General features: G+C 45.7%; 1 long non-coding RNA gene across 1 annotated transcript; it reads left to right on the forward strand.

Annotated features, from left to right (window-relative positions):
• The first annotated feature begins 203 nt into the window (after window positions 1–203).
• On the forward strand, window positions 204–18,492 carry LINC00222 (long intergenic non-protein coding RNA 222). Its single transcript, NR_033376.1, has 5 exons — window positions 204–399; window positions 7,968–8,095; window positions 8,852–8,953; window positions 16,941–18,120; window positions 18,346–18,492. It is a non-coding gene; the product is annotated as a long intergenic non-protein coding RNA 222 (long non-coding RNA).
• The last annotated feature ends 1,321 nt before the right edge of the window (window positions 18,493–19,813 follow it).

Raw genomic sequence — 19,813 nt, forward strand, 5'->3', positions numbered from 1 at the left:
AACTGGGCTGGGTGTGGACACGTGTTGTCCAGTGAGTCATGAATATGGATAGGGGTCACACAGAATAAACTTGACCATTCTTTGTCCATCCTGTGGGTGTGAGCTGGGCAGGTACCAGGAGAAGTGCCTTCTACAAACATTTGGCAACATCTAGTGGTGTGATTACAATAGTCAGCGAAAGAGGAAGATTCAATTTTGAGGACCTCCTTTCCTAGTGTCCCCATCTTTGCTGCCTTCTGTGAGTTTGATCATGTGGACTCCATGGAGGTTGGCCACTGCTGGGCAATGCAGCCAAACAAAGTGAGCAAAAGTAGGCTGGAGGGCTCCGTGGGTGACTGGGGCTAGGCTGCCTCTGGTGCCCCAAGAACCCTGAAGCCACCTTGCAGCTCTTCTGAAATGGTGAGTGGACTGCTGTTCTTCTTGTGCCAAGGTGTCCATGTTGCCTTTCTCACAAAATGTATTGCAAATAAGAGTGGGTACAAGTCATAGAAACCCATTCCAAGCTAGCTTACATAAAAAGGAGACCATTCTGGGGCTGCTTTTCCAGATCCCTCAGTCCTTTCTCTCCTGCTGCCCTTTGAGCCATTCCACTGTTTCCAGCTCTCTGGAGACAGGCATGGTGAGGTCTGCATTGATCTCCCCCCATGAAATGAAGGAGAATATGCTAAACTAGTGGCTGCTGATTTTTCCCCCTTCTTTTTCTGTCATTGCCTGTGGTCTGCAATTACCCATTCCCCTCTTGGCCTTCAGAGCTGTGCGAGGGTGAGCAGGTGTTGAGAGCAACTTTGTTCTTTTTGAGTCAATTTCATTACGTGGAGAGGATCCAACTCTCTCCGTGTAGCTGGCAGCTCCCAAGGCCAGACCACTGGGCAGGGCTCCCAAGAGCAGTGCTAGCCTCTTTGGTGTCACAAAGGGCCAGGCCAGGCCTGTTCATCTCTTTCCCCAAGAGCAAGCTGCTTTTTGAGCAGATGTACAAACAATTGGATGCCTCTGATAGACTGCAGTTCTGTAAGGTTGCAATCCTACCAGCCCTGCAGAGAAGTAAAAAGAAAAGCTCCAAACTGAGGCCTCTCAATTCTGCCGTCTTTCAGACTTTCCTGCGTTCTCACAGGTGGGCCAGCAACTAACCATGGGCCAGTAGGCCTGTCCCCTGCACTGTAGAAGATGCTGGTTATGGGATGTATAGGTGGAAGAGGGAAGGGAGCCATGCAGAACACCCAGGCCTTTTCCTTGCCCAGAACTTAACTGGGCAAACACATAACAGATCCCTGCAGCATTTAACCCTTAAGGATTAGCCCTTAAGAAGCTACAAAGGTAAACAAGTACATGATTACATTCAGGCTAGTTGCTGAATAATAATAGCATCTGTTCCTGGCACCATACTAATCAGTTTACATTTGTCAATTCACACAGCAAATAAGTGACAGAGCCAGGATCTGAACCCAGACAGTCACTACACAAACTTCCTCCCACATTATCAGCCTCTCACAATGCAAACAAAACACTGACACAGAATGCGATCGTCTTTGCTCTTGTGTACTTGTGGTAATTTGCGTGATTGAAAGATACCATTAGGAAGAAGAAATGTTTTAAATATCTAACCCCTGGAAAAGCAAGATTTAGAGACTAAAAATTTCATGACCCATCCGAAGCTCAGCAGTCAAGTTTGCAATTCTGCCAACTTCCCGCAAGAGTAAAACTGGCTGTTCTCACTGCTGTTAATAGAGGAGGACCATGACCTTGATGTACAGGTGGTGGGAGGGTGGGGCATTATTTAAGCAATGGGATCTGATGGGGGGTGCTGGAAAATGAACAAAAGTGTGAATTATTCCACAGCTGCTCACCCTGACGTTTATTGTGACTTTAAAATCTGAGAACATATGGTAACGGCTGGAAGCATGAAATAGCAGTTGGAAACGTGTAGACTTAAGGAAAAACCAGCCACCCTTATACCTCCCCACTTGGCTTCTCTGTAGAATGCTGTTGTCTTGCTAGCCTTTTTCGCTCCCAAATCTGAAGAAAGCCCTGGAACAAATGTCCCCTTTTCTTCAGCCCCATCCCCCCATGCATCTGCAAGAGCTTTTCCCCCTCCTGTGACAGAAGTTAGTGTTTTGATTCTTGGCTATGGTATTTTTATATATTGTGCCCTTCCACAGTTTTTGTTGGATCTTGTTAAATTCCACATCTTTGTTTTACAAGGCTGGATAGAGAGCTGGAAACATTGGGATGACATTTTGTTTGGGAATCCATGGTGGTCCTTGGAAATTCAGGCCAACGGCTGCTTCAATTGCCAGTTGAGGGAGCCCCGCTGTGTGGCTAGGTGATACCACCACTCCCTGGCCCCTCAATAATCCCCCTGGTCATCCAGCAAGCCTCACATCTTCCCCTTCCTCTTGAAATCCTTTGGGAGCATCCTAGTGGCAATGACTGCCCCCTTCTCTGTGCCAGGCGCTGACTTCCACTTAGCCTGTATAACTTTCTAGTTTTCTTTCTTTTTTTTTTTTTTTGAGACGGAGTTTCGCTCTTGTTGCCCAGGATGGAGTGCAGTGGCATGATCTTGGCTCACCACAACCTCCACCTTCTGGTTTCAAGCGATTCTCCTGCCTCAGCCTCCCGAGCAGCTGGGATTTTAGGTGCCTGCCACCATGCCCAGCTAATTTTTGTATTGTTTTTATGGTAGAGACGGGGTTTCACCATGTTAGCCAGGCTGGTCTCGAACTCCTGACCTCATTATCCACCCGCCTCGGCCTCCCAAAGTGCTGGGATTACAGCACCTGGCCTACTTTCTAGTTTTCATGTTTTGTGTTTCTCTCTTCTAATTTGTAAGATTCTGAAGGTTCAGAAGCATGTCTTCTTTATCCATCCCCTGCCTCACTACATTGACAAGTAGTAGCCGGGTGCCTCCTCTGTCAACATACACATTCATATTTTTATGCTTGCTGCCAACCACCATGCCTTTGATCAAGGAATGAATCCACTGCTTTACAGAGATTTCCATTTCCCAATCCTCTCCTTTCCTAATCAAATTGACTTGGGAACTAGGGGCACTCATAGAACAGAAGCCAGTTCACCTCTCTCAGAGTGAGAGAGACCTAGAGGTCAGTTTCATGGGTAAACTGAGGCTTCCTCAGATACCTGCTCTTTCACATAACAAGCTCTCCCAGAAGGACCAGTTCAGACAGCAACTTCTTTTCTAAACACATCTCTCTGGAAAGCCCCATGCAGAGAGTGCTAGCTTCCTACCCGATATCCATCCTCACCTTCTCTCTTAGAGAGCCCCAGTGTTATCCTGGTTAGCACGTATCCAGTGAAAAGATGAGTTCTCTTGCAGAAGATAAAAGCAGAAGTTGTTGGGTGGGACTTCTAGGAAAGCCTTGTTTGCCATTTCATCCTTCCTAATTCCTTTTGTTTGAAATGTGGATGTGATGGCTGGAGCTGCAACAGACACATTGAGGCTATGAAGAAAAGATTAAAAGAATCACAGGCCAGATGCAGTGGCTTATGCCTGTAATCCCAACACTTTGGGAGGCTGAGGCGGGTGGATCATGAGTTCAAGAGATCGAGACCATCCTGGCCAACATAGTGAAACCCCATCTCTACTAAAAATACAAAAATTAGCTGGGTGTGGTGGCGTGCCCCTGTAGTCCCAGCTACCTGGGAGGCTAAGGCAGGAGAATCACTTGAACTCGGGAGGCGGAGGTTGTAGTGAGCCGAGGTCGTGCCACTGCACTCCAGCCTGGCGACAGAGTGAGATTCTGTCTCAAAATATAAAAATAAAAAAATTACAAATACCTGTCCCTGATTTTCTCAAGCCACCAAACCAATGCCAGTAATTACTCATGTCTGCATTTCTCATGACATGACAAAAATAACACCTTCATGCATTTATGCCACTATAGTCAGTTCTCTGTTGCTAGCAACTGAAAGCAATTCCTAACTGATATACTGTGTTAGAGAGAGAGTAGTTCAGTGATTATTCACAGGCTTGAGTAACAGGGAGCTGAGCTCTTATGAAGCCAGTTCTTAGGAGTTCTTCCTTTGCTGACAAGCCCTAGAGCCAATCTTCTCTGAGTTAAGAGATTCTTTTTGGTGTTCCCAAATATAACTTCTTCAGTGAAAGTGAAACACGAAAGCCACCAGGCTCCCTCCCTAGAAGCAGTTTTGGGAAAGCAAGTCATCATCTGTCTTTGACATGTGGTCACCTGCCAAAGTGTTGCTGATACCAAAGCCCACGAGCTACATGTCCAAGTTATCCAACATCTGGCAGCTGAGCTGCTACTTGCTTTTTTAAGCACAAAACCAAGCATTCAAATGTTCCCAATTTAGCCTCATAAGCATTATGCTGGGCTCCTCTACCTTGGCCCACAGCTGCCAGCAATTCAAAGCTCTCTCTTATACAGATATGTTCAGTTTTTCTTCCCTGCATGCATTCCCTTCATCCCCAACTGTGATGAAGTCACACTGGAGGAATTTTTCTAGAGGCAGCCACTCTTGTGTCTTACCAAGGTTAGGTGTCCAAAAGGTTTCTCTGGGGCTGAGGTGGAGGTGGGAGTGTCCTCAAAAGGTGGCCCTCTTGAAAAGCCAGTTCCTCTCTGTAGCCAGGCCCTCATTGCAAGCAGCCAGTTTAACTTGTGCCATGGAGGGGGTGGTATGGTGTTGGTGGGGAAAGCTAACCCCGCCTTTTTTCTCCTTCACATCTGGGCAGTTTGAGAAGCTGGTTGGTGGGAGGCTGAACTCTGGAGTCAATAAACTCCATTCTCAAGGGCTAAGCATCCCATTTTGTGAGCCCCTTCATCTCTTGCTGATGCTGTTCAGGACCTGAGTGCTCCTAGGCCGCCTGATCCCTCCCTGTGTTTTTTTCTCCTGTCATGCTGCAGTTTAGTGCTGCCTTCTGTAGGGAGCCTGTGCAGTCAGGGAATATCGGCACTAAGGGGCTTCAAGCTTGTCTCATCTCACTTTTTTTTTGAGACAGAGGCTGGAGAGCAGTGGCGTGATCTCGGCTCACTGCAACCTACACCTCCCAAGTTTAAATGATTCTCCTGCCTCAGTCTCCTGAGTAACTGGGACTACAGGTGCCCGCCATCACGCCCAGCTAATTTTTGTATTTTTAGTAGAGACAGGGTTTCACTCTGTTGGCCAGGCTACTCTCAAAGTCCTGACCTCAAGTAATCTGCCTGCCTCAGCCTTCCAAAGTGCTGGAATTACAGGTGTGAGCCACCACGCCCTGGCCTGTCTTACCTTCTAGTTCAAAGTATGGGCAAACTGACGTCGATGGCAGTTTGGAGACCTGGCTCAGGTCATATCGCTAGCTAGTGGCCCAGCTTTTAGTCCTGATCCTAAACCAGCATGCCTGTCACAATAATAGATTAGTAATAGATTAAAGCTGATTTTTTTTTTTTCCAGACAGAGTCTTTCTCTGTCACCCAGGCTGGAGTGCAGTGGCGTGTTCTCAGCTCACTGCAGGCTCCACCTCCCGGGTTCACGCCATTCTCCTGCCTCAGCCTCTAGAGTAGCTGGGACTACAGGCACCCGCCACCACGCCTGGCTAATTTTTTATATTTTTAGTAGAGACAGGGTTTCACCGTATTAGCCAGGATGGTCTCTATCTCCTGACCTCATGACCCGCCCGCCTCAGCCTCCCAAAGTGCTGGGATTACAGGTGTGAGCCACGTGCCTGGCGGAGCTGATTCTAAAATAGCATTTACTATGTGCAGGACACCATTCTAATGTATACCTAAAATCTTCCCATGTTATGCACGAAGAACGTAAGGCAAAGAAAGGTTGAATAACTTGCCCAAAGTCTCAGATAGTAAGTGGCAGAGTTGGGATTTGATCCCAGGCAGTCCGGCTCTATTCTTGACCACTCCAATATACCAATACACTAACGTAGCCCATTCTTTGACTTGTTTACATCAGGTCCAGATGAGAGATCTCTAATAAAACTCCTTGGTCAGAGGAATATTGGCTTAATATCTTACCCCTGGAGGAGCATTTCCCAAAATATGATAGCAACAGGTGTTGAACAAACTAACCAAAACAAAAATAAATGCTATGACCAAATAAATTTGCAGTTACATTAAACCAAGTTAAACAGGTTTTATATTACGGAACTTCTCAGAGCCTTTAATATGCTAATAGACATTATAAATTCTCTAAAGAGTCTAAAACATTTCCCCAACTTCTGGGACCATAGAAGCCTTTTTGATGCAATGATGTCATGACATATCATGTGCCCTGTGGAAAACTCAATTGAGTAAAAAAGGCAAATTGTGTATTATTACAAAAAGAGTTTTGACCTCAAGAATGTCCTAAGATGGATTCGAGAGCCAGGCATAGTGGCGCACACTTGTAATCCCAACACTTTGGGAGGCTGAGGCAGAAGGATCCCTTGAGCCCAGGAGTTCAAGACCAGCCTGGCCAACATAGGAAGACCCCCCCCCGCCCCCCGCCATCTCTATATTTTTTAAAAGGCTTTTTAAAAAAATGAAAAAACAAATAAGATTAATTCAAGCACCCCCAGGGTTCCCTGGTCCACACTTTAACAACAGCTGTCTAGAAAATACTATTTAAAATATAAGACTTGAAGCTCATCTTCAAGGAAGGCTAAATACCATATCATACTGCCCCATGCATAGGATGAAGGAGAAAAGCGAATGAAAGAATGTGGATGTGTGTTTTTAAAACAGTCCCCTTTCATTTCACACTCTATGTCCATATAAATAAAAAATAAAAATAATAAAAATCAGTCCCCTGTCCTACTAGTTCTTTCTTTTTTCCTTTTTTATTCTCTTTCCTCCTTTTTTTTTTTCATTTAAAAAATCTCTTGTTGCTCCATAAAGATTTAAGGTAGTTTAATCTTCCAGTGAGTCAATGTTCCTGTTGACAGAGACATATTTAAGTAAAGGGTCATTATTTTAGGGGGACTCCTAACCCTTCACTCTATCCTAAAAATTCCCTATTATCATCCTACAGGTCAACCTAAATTTTCTGTCCTTAGCATTTTGTTTATTGGGGTAAGGCCATGTCTTTCTAGAAAGAGGCCTTGGGTTAAGATATAGTTTCATTATACGGCTAGGTGTGAACACACATGGCTACTGCCACATGGGAATGTGTCTCTCAGATTAGGGCACTCATCCAGGAAGAGACCCCTAAGGACAGGGACCCAGGATGGGAAAGTACTGCAGTGGGCACTTGCATGCAGCCCTAGAAAGTGAGGTGCCCTGCTAAGAAGTCACTCTTTCCTTTTTAGGGAAATGTCCAAAGATACGTCTTATTTCTTTAACAGGTTTGCTTCTTTTTTTTTCTTTTGAGACAGAGTCTTGCTCTGTCACCCAGGCTGGAGTGCAGTGGCGCGATTTCTGATCACTGCAACCTCCACCTCCTAGGTTCAAGCGATTCTCCTGCCTTAGCCTCCCAAGTAGCTGGGACTATAGGCGTGCGCCACCACGCCTGGCTAATTTTTTTGTATTAAAGTAGAAATGGGGTTTCACCATGTTGGGCAGTCTGGTCTTAAACTCCTGACCTCAAGCAATCCACCAGCCTTTGCCTCCCAAAGTGCTGGGATTAAGGCATGAGGCACTACACCTGACCTCTTTAACAGTTTTATCTACGGCCTGCCCTTATCTGAGGTCATTTTGTGTTTATATTAGACTGCAGGTCTTTGAACCTGATTTCAAACCTCATGTCAAAGCTAATGCAGCATCTGCAGTACTGCACCCAAATATGACAACCCAGACCAGGTGGGGAAAATGAAGTCTAGTTCAGGCTGGTGGCCCAAGGTCCCCCTTGTTACACTGGCCAGCAACAAGGTAACACTGGCCTTGGCTCGCAAGGCACATAAACCACACAAGATGCTGCAGTCAACACCGCTGAGGTGAGAGAGAGAATTACAGACTGGAGGGGATGCTAAGGGTTCTCTTCCCTGAGAAGCCCACCGTCTCCCATGCTTCTTTGTTCTGTCTTCACAGGGTTGGGGGATCCAGCTATCTGTAATTGTGAAGTGAAGAGGATGTGACTGCCAGGTAATGCTAACCCCGAATCCTTGGTGCCTGTGTTATGCACCATATGCTGAATTTCGGTTCCAGCTGTGTGCTAGGTGAGTCTTTGGGTGTTTGGCTGAATGATCTTTTAAGGCTGGTGTGCCCCTTTTCAAGGGTAACCCATCCAGCTAAGTGTTTTCTAAACAACAAAACAGTCTGGGCACAGTGGCTCACATCTGCAATCCCAGCATTTTGGGAAGCCAAGGCAGGTGGATCACCTGAGGTCAGGAGTTTGAGACCAGCCTGGCCAACATGGTAAAACCCCATCTCTACTAAAAATACGAAAATTAGCCGGGTGTGGTGGCAGGTGCCTGTAGTCTCAGCTACTCAGGAGGCTGAGGCAGGAGAATTACTTAAACTTAGGAGGTGGAGGTTGCAGTGAGCCAAGATCACGCCACTGCACTCCAGCCTGGGCGACAGAAAAAGACTCTGTCTCAAAAACAAAAACAAAAAACAAAACAAGCTTATTAGTCGTTTTTGTACATGTGTTAGTAACGCATACTAATTATAGAAAATTTAGAAAATACAGATAAGAAAATGGAAAAGTCGTCATAATCCTATCACCCAGAGATAACCACAGGTGACTTTGGATGTAAGTCGCTCCTGCCCGTGCTTCCCACCTCTAACTCTCATTACATATGCTGCTGATGGGATTCACGTGTGATCCAAGCATTGCACTGCCCTACCTCTCAGACACTGATCGGCAGCCATGACTGACTTAGGGGAAGGGGCCAGTTTTTCTGTTGGGCTTCTTGGGCCTGGAGGGTAAAGGGAGAGGCTAAAAGGGAGCCTGGCCCTCTCTCTGTCTCAAGGCTGGGTCTGATCTGGCAAAGAGGAACTGGCTCCACAGCTCTGGGCAGAATCCACTGCTGCTCCCACACAGAGAAGACCAGGGGAACCGCAGTCCCACTCTGGTAAGTGAAGGGAGGGAAGCTGTTTATCTTCAATAGTGCACTGGGGCTGCTATTTTCTCTCCTGGCACCCCCATCCCGGGGCAAGGTCCTCGGCAGGAGTGGACAGAGATAATCTCCTCTTGGCCATGCGTCCACGTCCTTAGCTCTTCACACCCCCTCCAGCACTGGCCACTGAGGCTGCTTTGCTATTCCTTTTAGATTTCCCAATTCCAAGTCTATACTTAGTCTTTTCTGCACTAGAACACGCACGGCAGTTAAATATGAAATCTAAGATGTCATCAACCAGCAGCCTAGGATTCCACATAAAATGCATGCAGAAATGTACTGAGGCCTGGCTGGCTGTGATGAGTCACCTTAGGGCCCCCAGCCACTTGCCACCACTCTTAATTCTTCACATTAAGCAGGGAGAGCAGCTGGGGAAGCTGGGCTCTTTGGAGGCAAACACTGGCCAACTAGGGGATGCTCCTCTGCTGTTTCCACTTCTCCCTAGGCAGCCCCTGCTGGCTTTCTGTTTATTTTGCAATTAGCACTTGAAGGAGACTCTGGGGATATTTTTGCTTGTGGGCTGAGAGCTGATATTTCAGAAATTCTTCCCCTCCTTAGAGCACTAGGTTCTGGAAGGAGGGTTTGGAAACAACAGCTCTCAGCGTTCTTTCCAATAATACTCTTGATAATGATCCTTGGCAATTTCATTATCCACAGACACAATCCTTCCAATACTCAGCCTCCTGGTTCCTCTCCTTGCTCTTCTCCACCAATCTTGTCCTTTATGGCATTGCGGCCACTCACCCCTATGGCCGTTCCCTTGACTGTGTCATTACTCCCAGTTGTGCTATCTGTACTATCTTGACTTCAAACATCCCACTCTCCTAACACAGTTCCCATCCCACTCAGTCTTCCCTCTCCAGTGATTCTTCAGCTTTACTGGGACCCACAACTGACTGATCTGCCATCTTTTCACTGTTCCTCGCTGCTACCTGCAAGTCCTCCCTGCCCTCTGTACCCACTTAGATGCTGCGATCTGGGGCCTTCATCCCTCCCATCAATACACAGTCAACTCCCTTGACCCCCTCTCCTTTGTTGTACCTGCCTGGTAAGACCACAGTCCTGGCTGAATCCTACTGTCTGCCCACTGTGTGTACCTGCCCAGCTGACTGGTCTCACTCTAAGTTCAGCCTCACTAGCTGCAGGTGGGTCCTGGTGTTTGGCTGGCCCTTCTATTTCATTTCCCTGCACCACTTATTCTCATACTCTCCAAGACAGTGATTTCATATTTTCTCCCCGCTCAAATTCACAACATGTCCTCCCCTATCCTCACCCTCACCTGATGACCTTGCTTCCAAATTCACTGAGATAGTAAAATAAGTGGCTGCCAAGTTCCCATCTTCCCACCCTCGCCTGTACTCCCACCTCCATCTGTGCCTACCCGCTCTGCCTTCCCGCCTTGGACAAGGAATGAATTTCCCAAGCGCCTGTCAGCAATACTCAGTGTGGGCCTGAATCTTGACTGCATCAGTATCACCTGGGGGATGGTCAGAAAATGCAGCTTGTCCACCCCCAGTCCAGACCTGCTGAATCAAAATGTCTGGGGCGGGGCCAGGTGCAGTGGCTCATGCCTGTAATCCCAGCACTTTGGGAGGCCAAGGCAGGTGAATCATTTGAGGCCAGGAGTTAGAGATGAACATGTGAAACCCCATCTCTACTACAAATGCAAAGATTAGCCAGGCGTGGTGGTATGCACCTGTAATCCCATCTGCTTGAGAGGCTGAGGCATGAGAATCGCTTGAATCTGTGAGGCAGAAGTTGCAGTGAGCCAAGATTGTGCCACTGCATTCCAGCCTGGGCAACAGAGCAAGACTCTGTCAAAAAAAAAAAAAAAAAAAGAATGTCTGAGTTGGGGCCCCAGAACTTGTTTCAATGGGCTCTCCAAGGCATTCTTATGCATGACACTGAGCTAGGTCCCTTTCTCTGTCACCTACTCAAGGACATCCCTCCAGCAGTTGTCTCTTCTCTACAGGATCATTTCCAATATCATACAAACAAACCAGAAACAAAACACCTCTCTAGATCCCAAACCTGCCTTAGCTACCACCCTATTTCTCTACTTCCCTTTTTTCTCTTGAACTCCCTTCAATCAGTCTTTGGTTTCCACCCTCCTCTAAAAGTGCTCTTGCCAAGGTCATTGTGAGAGAAACTGGCTAGATGGTCACCAAACCACTTCCTCTTCCAGGGCACACAACCAAATGATGTTTCCCAGTTACTTTGCCTCTAAATGAGGCTGTGTGACTAGTTCTTGTCATGGGAACTCCAGTGGGTCAACGTGCCAGCTTCAGGCTGAAGCACCAGAGCTCAGGTGTGCTTCTATATGGACCACTCCTTCCCTTTCCAAGGGAACCATGGCAGGTGTGCACTGAAGATGGAAAGAACCTGGTACCCAAATCACAAAGAAGGCCACCTGCCAAATACTTGACTGGACTGTGAGATGAGTGAGATAGAAGCTTTTTATTGTACTAAGTTATTGATTCAGGGGTTATTCATTGGAGAAATAAGATTGCCCTAATAAAGTCACGAGGGACCTCCAAATTTCTAAATCCAATAGTCAATTCTTAGTTATTGTCACTTGTGACCAAATAGCAGCATTTGGCAAAGTTGATCAATGGTTACTTTTTGAGAAATTTTCTTTATATATTCTCTAGGTTGTTTTTTTAAGAAAAAATTATTTAACTCACTTTAGTATCCTTTGCTAAGTCCTCTTTGTGTAAGATTGCCCCAGGACTTAGTCCTTGGATCTCTTCTCTCTCAGTACTCACTCCTTTGTTAATATCAATCTCATTCTTGGCTTTGAATATCTTCTCTACAGTGATGATTTCCAAGCTTACATCTCTAGCCTGAACCTAAGACTTGCTTGATCCACAGGCTACTAGACATCTCCCCTTGGTGTCTAATAGCTACCTCAAACTTAACGTATCCCAAACCATACCCAAAACCATATCCTGATGCCTTTCACCCTACTTCACCCATAACCTTCCTCTTCCCAGTAAATGTTAACTCTCTCCTTCCAATTGCTTCAGCAAAAGAAACTGTGGACTAATCCTTGAGTCTCGCTCATTTCTCATATCCTGTTATTAGATTCTGCAGGTCTTACCCTAACAACATCCAGACTCTCAGCTCATTCTTACGCTGCTGTCGTGGTCTGAGCCACCGCCACCGTCTCCTCCTTGGGTTGTTCTGCTCTCCTCCTCACGGTCTCGCTGTTCACATTCTTTTCTGCCTTCTTTATAGTCTTAATTGAGCACCCTGCATGAGCTTCATACACAAAAATCAAATTGTCTCACTTTTCTGTTTCAACCCTCCCCCTCCGCCAGTATTTTCTCAGATCACTTGGAATTAAAAGTGCTGAAGGTGGCTCACAGGCTCCCTGTTGCCCCTCTGCCTTCATCTCTCTGGACTCTCCTTGGCTCAATCCATTCCTGTAACACCCTCTTCTTTGCTGTTTGAATCCCGCTCTTGCCTGGAATATGCTGGCCCAGAAAATCATCACTTGCTCCCTCACTGCCTTCAAAGCTTTGGTCAAATTTACCTTAACAGAGGGGCCTTCCCTGATGTCAGCTCGTGCTCTACACTCCCTGTGCCTCTTAGCACTTATCACTACCTAGACAGTTACTTTATTGTTTGTCTACTGGCACCAGAATGTAAGGTAGGCAGGGACTTTGTCTTGTTTATTCTGTGTCTCCAGAACACAGAACAGTGTTGGGTACACAGTAGGTGCTCAATAAACATTTGTAGAATGAATGAAAGAACAAACAGCTGAAAGGGCCAGCTACAGCCTCCTTGGCTTAGGTGAAGAAGCAAGTTTTTCCCGTTGCATTTTGCACGTGTGCTTCATTCTAGTGGATCCAGAGTCCGTCCTTCCTCTCCTTGTGAATTTTGTCTCAAGGATCTTGTTTGCCTCTTGTGTGACCTCTTTTGGACTGTCCTGGGCGATTCACCCATCTTCTCAAAGAATTGGCCTCGCAGATACCTGGTGACATCGTACGTGACTCTCTACCACAGGTTCTTGTTCATGAGGCTCCAGAACTCCGTTTTACACCATGGGGAGGGCTGATCCTCCACCTGCTGAGGTCTGACCAGGGTCACCAAGGGCAGCACCGGGTTCTCCTTTTGCAAAAGTGCAGAAAAGCAATCATGAAACCATCAGAGGAGAGGATGGAGGTGTGGAGGCCTGCCCAGTCATAGGATTCTGGAGGAGGGATGAGTGCGCTGGGCAGGCTGCTGAGGAGGTGCTGCTTCCTGGTGCCCCCTCCTTTCCAGCACTGTCTCTGGGAAAGGTTGTTGGAACCAGAAAACACACAGCCTTGGTTGATGAAAAGCCTGTTTATTCCTAGTACACTGGACACTTTGTTCAGGAATAGTTCATCCATTTGAAAATATTGCCCTTGTAATGGTGCCAAGGTCATTGCCTGCTGGGGTTATCAGCACTGTGTGTGCCAGCTCTGACTGGGTGTTTTAATAGGTGGATCATTTCCCTGCCAGAGGGACTAAAGAACGTTGAATGGTTAATTTGTATTCAGTGCTATCCCTGCATACAGTCTTCATATTAAGTTTTTGTTGGGACTTTAAGAAAAAAAAAGAGAAATGAATAAATAGGTTAGGATGCAATGAACTGCTTTAAAAAGGAATTTTAAGTGGTACTGACTCATTTTAGAGTTCTCCATACCCATCTGATAATAATAGTATACCTACCTTTGCAAAGTACTGGGGAGTTTGCCAACAACAACAACAACAACAACAAACCCTTGTATTCATTGTCTCCTTTGATGCTCAAATCAATCCTGTAAGGTAGGGTGGTGTGGTCCCCTATTTTAGGTGAGAAAACTGAGGCTCAGGGAAATTAAATGGCTTTTGTCAAACAAGGTCAAAGAATTAACACAGTGGAACCAGCATTGTGACCCACGTCTCTTCATGCCCAGGTTTGACCGTGTCCAGCCCATCATGGTGAGCTGGGCAGGTGTAGAGGGGAAGGATCTAGCTGGGTTTGGACAGAGATGCTTGAAGTGTCGAGGTGAATGTGAGTGAAGAATAATTTTGTTACTAGCTATAGCCCTCTGTCAGCCAACACATGGTAATAAATACAGTTGCTCACCTTGAAAATGGTGTGAAGCCCCTACCTGCCGAGTGGATGATGAGTATCCACTCAAGTGTGGCCAGGCCTGGGGAGGCAAACATCCCAGGCAGCAGCCTGTGGCACTGTGGGAAAATCTCTACTCTGGTTTTTAAGAGATCAGAGTTCTAGTGCCAGCTCCACAGTACATAGGTCCATTGTGTGACTTTGAGCAAACAAGGTCTATAATCTGTAAAAACAGATTTGATCACATCTGTTCATCCCCCTGGTATACACAGCCAAGTTTTATTGCAATGTACCAGTGGCTGGAATAAAGAAATAAAAAGCTCGCCCATCAAGTTTGTGAATGCCATGAAGCTAGAGTGTAGCTAATAATGACAAATGACAGATAAGTTTTCTTGAAGACCTTGAGACTTGTAGGAACATTTAGATGAAACGTCTAAGGTAAATGCACAGAATTGTATTTAGGTTTAACAAAAATTGCACCAGTGACAGCATTTGTTCTTGATGCACATCTTGTTTACTTGTTGAAAGGATTTGTTGAAAGGGAATACACAGGTTTGGGCTCGAGAAGATTTAAGAGTTTTAATTGACTCAAATCTCAATATGAATGGGGATTGACAAAGAAGTTAGCACAACCATGGGCACTCCCAACACAAGTGTAGAATCTAGGACAAGGAACCACATTGGGCTTGCATGCACGGCCAGGAGAGCATTGGGTTCTGTAAGCATGTGCTTAATAAGGTTATTGACAAACTGGAACTAGCGTAAATGGTTGGGAAATCATGGTCTATGTCAGGGGTTTTAAGGCCTGTAAGGAGAACACTTAGTGGGCTGACATGATGGTGGTTTGCACAGAAATAAATGGCAAGGAGGATGAGGAAGTGCATAATCCATGTGGGTATCTGCAGGGCCAAAGCTAATCCAGCAAATGAAACTAAAGGGAGGCAGAGTTTACCTGTAAAAATGGAAGCAGGAGGCCTTGCCAGGTGGTGAGCTTCTTGTCAGATGTGCAGGCAGTGGCAGCCTGACCTCCTTGTGGGGACTGGCGCGGAGGTTCCAGCACCATGTGGGATTGGAGCTAAGGAAGGGCTCTTGACTGACAGCAGCAATCTAGGAAATGGGACAATGAGTGAGATGAAAACTGGAAACGCTCTGTAAATGTGAGGTTGTACTGTTAGGCGCTGAGGAGGAAGGCCCTGAGCATTCCCCTCAACTCAGACTTTCCACCATTCCCAGGTAGGGCGAGAAGTCTCTGTCTATAGTCACTCCTTACTATCTACAGCCAGTCTCTAAGCTCTGCCCATCCCTCTGCATATGCCTGCACACAGTCACACAGTTTGCTAAGAAGTGTTTGTTCGTTTGTTTTAGACAAGGTCTCACTCTGTTGCCCAGGCTGGAGTGTTCCTAAGCAGCTGGGACTATAGGCATGTGCCACCACGCCAAGCTAATTTTTTAATTTTTTTGTAGAGATGGAGTTTCGCCATGTTGTCCAGGCTGGTCTGGGACTCCTGGGCTCAAGCAGTCCTCCCACCTAAGCCTCCCAAAGTGTTGGAATTACAGGCGTGAGCCACCGCGCCCAGCCTGCTGAGACTTTTGAATGTGTTCTGTTTCCACTACACAATTGAGAACACTGAAGTACCAGTGACTTCCAGGGTGGGGAAGAAATCCAGAGGCTGCTCCTGAAAGGGGTCACCCTTGAGTGTGAGTCTGTTCCAAGTAAATCAAGTGAGCTGGAAGATCGGTGAGCTTGGATTTATTTTGTATCTTTTTTTTTTTCTTTTTAAAGGGGAGCTGTAGAATTAAGGGTTGAGGTTTTTCTTATTCTCTTTAGAGGTTTTTTGGCTACCTAATACATCAGCTGAACTAATCTGCAGAAAATAAATTTATCTTTAAAGTAGAGCTATTTAGATGCCTGAGTAACAAACTCTATCTCAATAGAAGCTATTGGCAAAATGAAGCTCACCTCTTAGGCTGACAGCACTGTGGAAATGATGCTCAAAGTTTCAGGGGTGAAACCAGATTGGCTTCTGGCCAAGGGTACCTTACTAATGGGCGTATTTGCATTTGGGGAGGAAAAGACCTGTGACAACACAGCCACGTGGTTGTTCCTCATAACCCACAGTTGGGTTTCATCTGGACTCCCTCCCCACCCCTAACGTCTGCCGATGTATCTGTGTCTAAAGCCATAGTTTACTCTTTTTTATCCTCATCCTTCAACCAGCCCTACATCTTACGTGCCTGCTGTCCAGACTTCTCTTAAATCTATCTGTTCCTTTCCACCCCAACTATCAACTCAACTGAATAGCCACTAAATGAGGCACTGTGCTAAGCTCTGAATTGCAAAGATCATTAGGGCATTTGGTCTTATTACTTCAGTCCTGGGTTATGCACCTGTGCTAGGAGGTGCAGCTGATTTTCCTGATTATGCTTCCAGACGTGCCACTCCTTCTCATACACACAACTCTTGCTCAGACACTGTCCTGTACTTCCTGTAAGGTACAGTCAAAACCTGCGTTTTTCAGAGGCCTCTGCAGCCTGCACCCATTGTGATTGTGCAGTCTTAGCTCCTTTTGGCCTTGTGGAAGGAGAGTGGATTCTAGAAAGATCCCTGCCCAGCCACTTCCTGCCCACTGTGACCTTGAGCAAAATCTCTGGCTCCAAGTGTTGCATGGGTGGTGGTGAAGGGGTAGCAAGGAAACTTGAGTGGGTTTGTCAGAACTAGGAGCAGTAAGAAAACTTGAAAGAGCCTCCTGTCTTAAGAAGGCACTTGACTGCCTCTGATCAATTCAGGGAGGCTTCAACAGCTCTTAAGAGGATTAGGCCAAAGGACTTCAGTGAAACTTTTGTGCTTTTGTTCCCTAGAGTGGAAACCCTTGACACGTGTTACACACAAACAACACTTGGGGTGGAACAAGAGGTTTACAATGATCTGTCTGGGACCCATAATACAATTCAGCATCTCTTTAGAGCTTCAGTCTATCAAACATTTTCAGACTATTTCATTTAACCTTAACAGTTATTGAAATGCTTGGGGGGGAAAAAAACCTCCACATTTGAGATTTCCATAGCAGAAGCATCACCAGCAGCCTCAACAGCCATTCAAAAAGATATCGTCTGCAGGCTTGTTACCTCTTATCGTCCCTCCATTGTATTATAGAACTCTTATTCTTAGAGAGATTGCCTGGAAAGAGGTAAAGTATGCATAGACATGGTCAGCCCCATTTGCAGCTGAGGAAATGAGACTCAGAGTGGCAAAGTGACTTTTTCAGAATCATAGCAGTAAATGGTAGCATTAGGAAGCTAAGCCTGATCATCCTGTTCTTGTCCTGTTGAGGAGATAGTGAGAGCAAAGGAAAGTGGCAACAATGAAGGAATAAAACCCAGCTCGTCCCCCTGTTCCTCATGCCCAACCCTTGCCAAGACTTCAGGTAACAGAAGGAAGAGAACACATGGATGGGCACATGCTGGGCCCGGAAGAGCTGTGCATGTCCCACAGACCACGAGTGTGGAGCCCATGGCCGTGTGAAGGGGGTGGGGTCCCAGTCCTAGAAGCAGGATCATGGAAGTGGCCTTGGAGGACCTGACGAGGAAGCCTATGATCTTCCAGGTACTTTTAGGTGATGTGGATTTAGACACTGGATGTGGCTGTGAAGCGGGCTTTTGCTTTTTTGGTTGTCCGGCATCCATTTAATCACGCCCCAGCTTCCTGCTTGGGAACTTCCACTAACGCTGTCAGTCCATGGACTTCTAGAGGAGCTGAATCTACCGCTGGCTCAGGAACAGGAACCTGACCTGGGCCTAAGCTAATGAATCCATCAAATTTACCTTGGCAAAGTGATTGCCTCAGGAATGGGCAGTGACCCAACTAGAGCCAATAGGACTTTTCCCAGGTATCCTGAAACAGACAGTCTTTTTCTCATGGATGTGGACCTGAGACAGTATAGTTCTGGGAGTTGCTGACAACCATCTTATGGTCATGAGCTGATTTGAGATTGGCTTCAACAAGCAGGAAGTGGAACAGATGGAGATAAATTGGATCCTGGTAAAATTTGTTTGGAATCTTGTATATGTTGATTTTTCTCCTGAATTTTTTTCAGTTATATGAACCAATACATTTTGTTTGTTTAACCCAATATGGGTCATGTCTTCTCTCAACTGCAGGTGACTGCAGTTTACTTGTTTCATAAAGTAGGATTTTAAACATAAACAGTATGCAGAATAAAAGTTTGTCATACAGATTTCTTATCATGGAACTTCTTTTTTATAGAATTGTGGAAAGCTTACAAAGGGCTTCTGCTTCTGACTACGATGGAGTGACTGGTATCAGATGGCCCTCTTGTCAGGAACAACCATAAAAGCTATACTTCACCCAGCTTTTTGATAGCATGGAGAAATGTCAAGGCAGCTGGGATTGGAAGGAGTAGATAGGATCCCTGACAGAATGAAGTACAGTTCCAATAGAAAAGAAAGCCCAGATTTTGTGGAAAGTGACAAGCTAATTTCAAAATTTATATGGAAAGGTAAAAGTCCAAGAATAGCAAAGATTCTCAGGAAAAAGAAAAAACATTTTCTTAACATGACTAAATATGAAAACTTATTATCTGGTTACAGTAACTAAAACAGAATGATATGACCTCAAGTATAGATAAATAGATTATTGGAACAAAATAAAAAATCCAGACCCAGAAATATACAGTCTTTTATTTTCAGCAAAGGTGCCACTGCAATGCAGTGAAGAAAAGATGAGCTTTTCAATAAACAATGTGCTGAGTCAATTGGATATATACTTGAGAAAAAATGAACTTGACCCCTACCTCACACTATACACAAAAATCACTTTCAGATTGATTACAGACCTAAATGTGAAAGATAAACAGTAAAGCTTCTAAAAGATAGCATTAAAGAATATCTTCATGGCCTTGTTCATTCTGGTATTTCCTCAAGAGTTTGGTACGTGGTCAGTGTTTGATAATTGTCCATTACATGAATTATGGAGTAGGGGAAATAAAGTGAGAGCAATGGATGGGAGGCTGGTGTGAGAGCAGCAAAGGTAGCAGTCATAGGATCAGGGAGAAAGGACACACTTCATCATTCTGGGGTAATTTTTAGCAAAAGATACATAATCCCTCCATCAAGGAAGGTGGAAGCCATGGCAGGTTGGAGGAGCAGGCCAGGAAGGCTCTAAGCCAGCCAAGCCCACAGAAAGTCAAACATTTGTACTCTCCTGAGGACTCCAGGCTTTTAGCTTGTGGCACTTCATTCAAAATTTCTGTCCTTGTATTTCGTAGTTGTTTTAAGAATCGGAATAACTATATATTATTAGTTAATAACTTACATATTTCACTTGTTAAATTTTGGCGTTGCTGCTTACAAAGTGCCACAGCTGGCCAGGTCTTGTGGCTGATGCCTATAATCTCAACACTTTGGGAGGCCGAGGTAGGAGGATTGCTTGATCCCAAGAGTTTGAGACGAGCCTGGGCAACATCGTGAGACCCTGTCTCTTAAAAAAAAAAAAAAAGTTTAAAAAAAATTAGCCAGGTGTGGTGGTGCATGCCTGTAGTCCCAGCTACTCGGGAGGCTAAGGTGGGAGGATCCCTTGAGCTTGGGAGGTCGAGGCTGTAGTGGGCTGTGGTTACACCATTGCACTCCAGCCTGGGTGACAGGGTGAGACCCTGTCTCAAAAATAAAATAAAAAATAAAACATGTCTGCAAATTCTTTGATGCTTCTGCCATTG

The sequence above is a fragment of the Homo sapiens genome, chromosome 6 (genome assembly GCF_000001405.40).
Source record: "Homo sapiens chromosome 6, GRCh38.p14 Primary Assembly".
Lineage (NCBI taxonomy): Eukaryota > Metazoa > Chordata > Mammalia > Primates > Hominidae > Homo > Homo sapiens.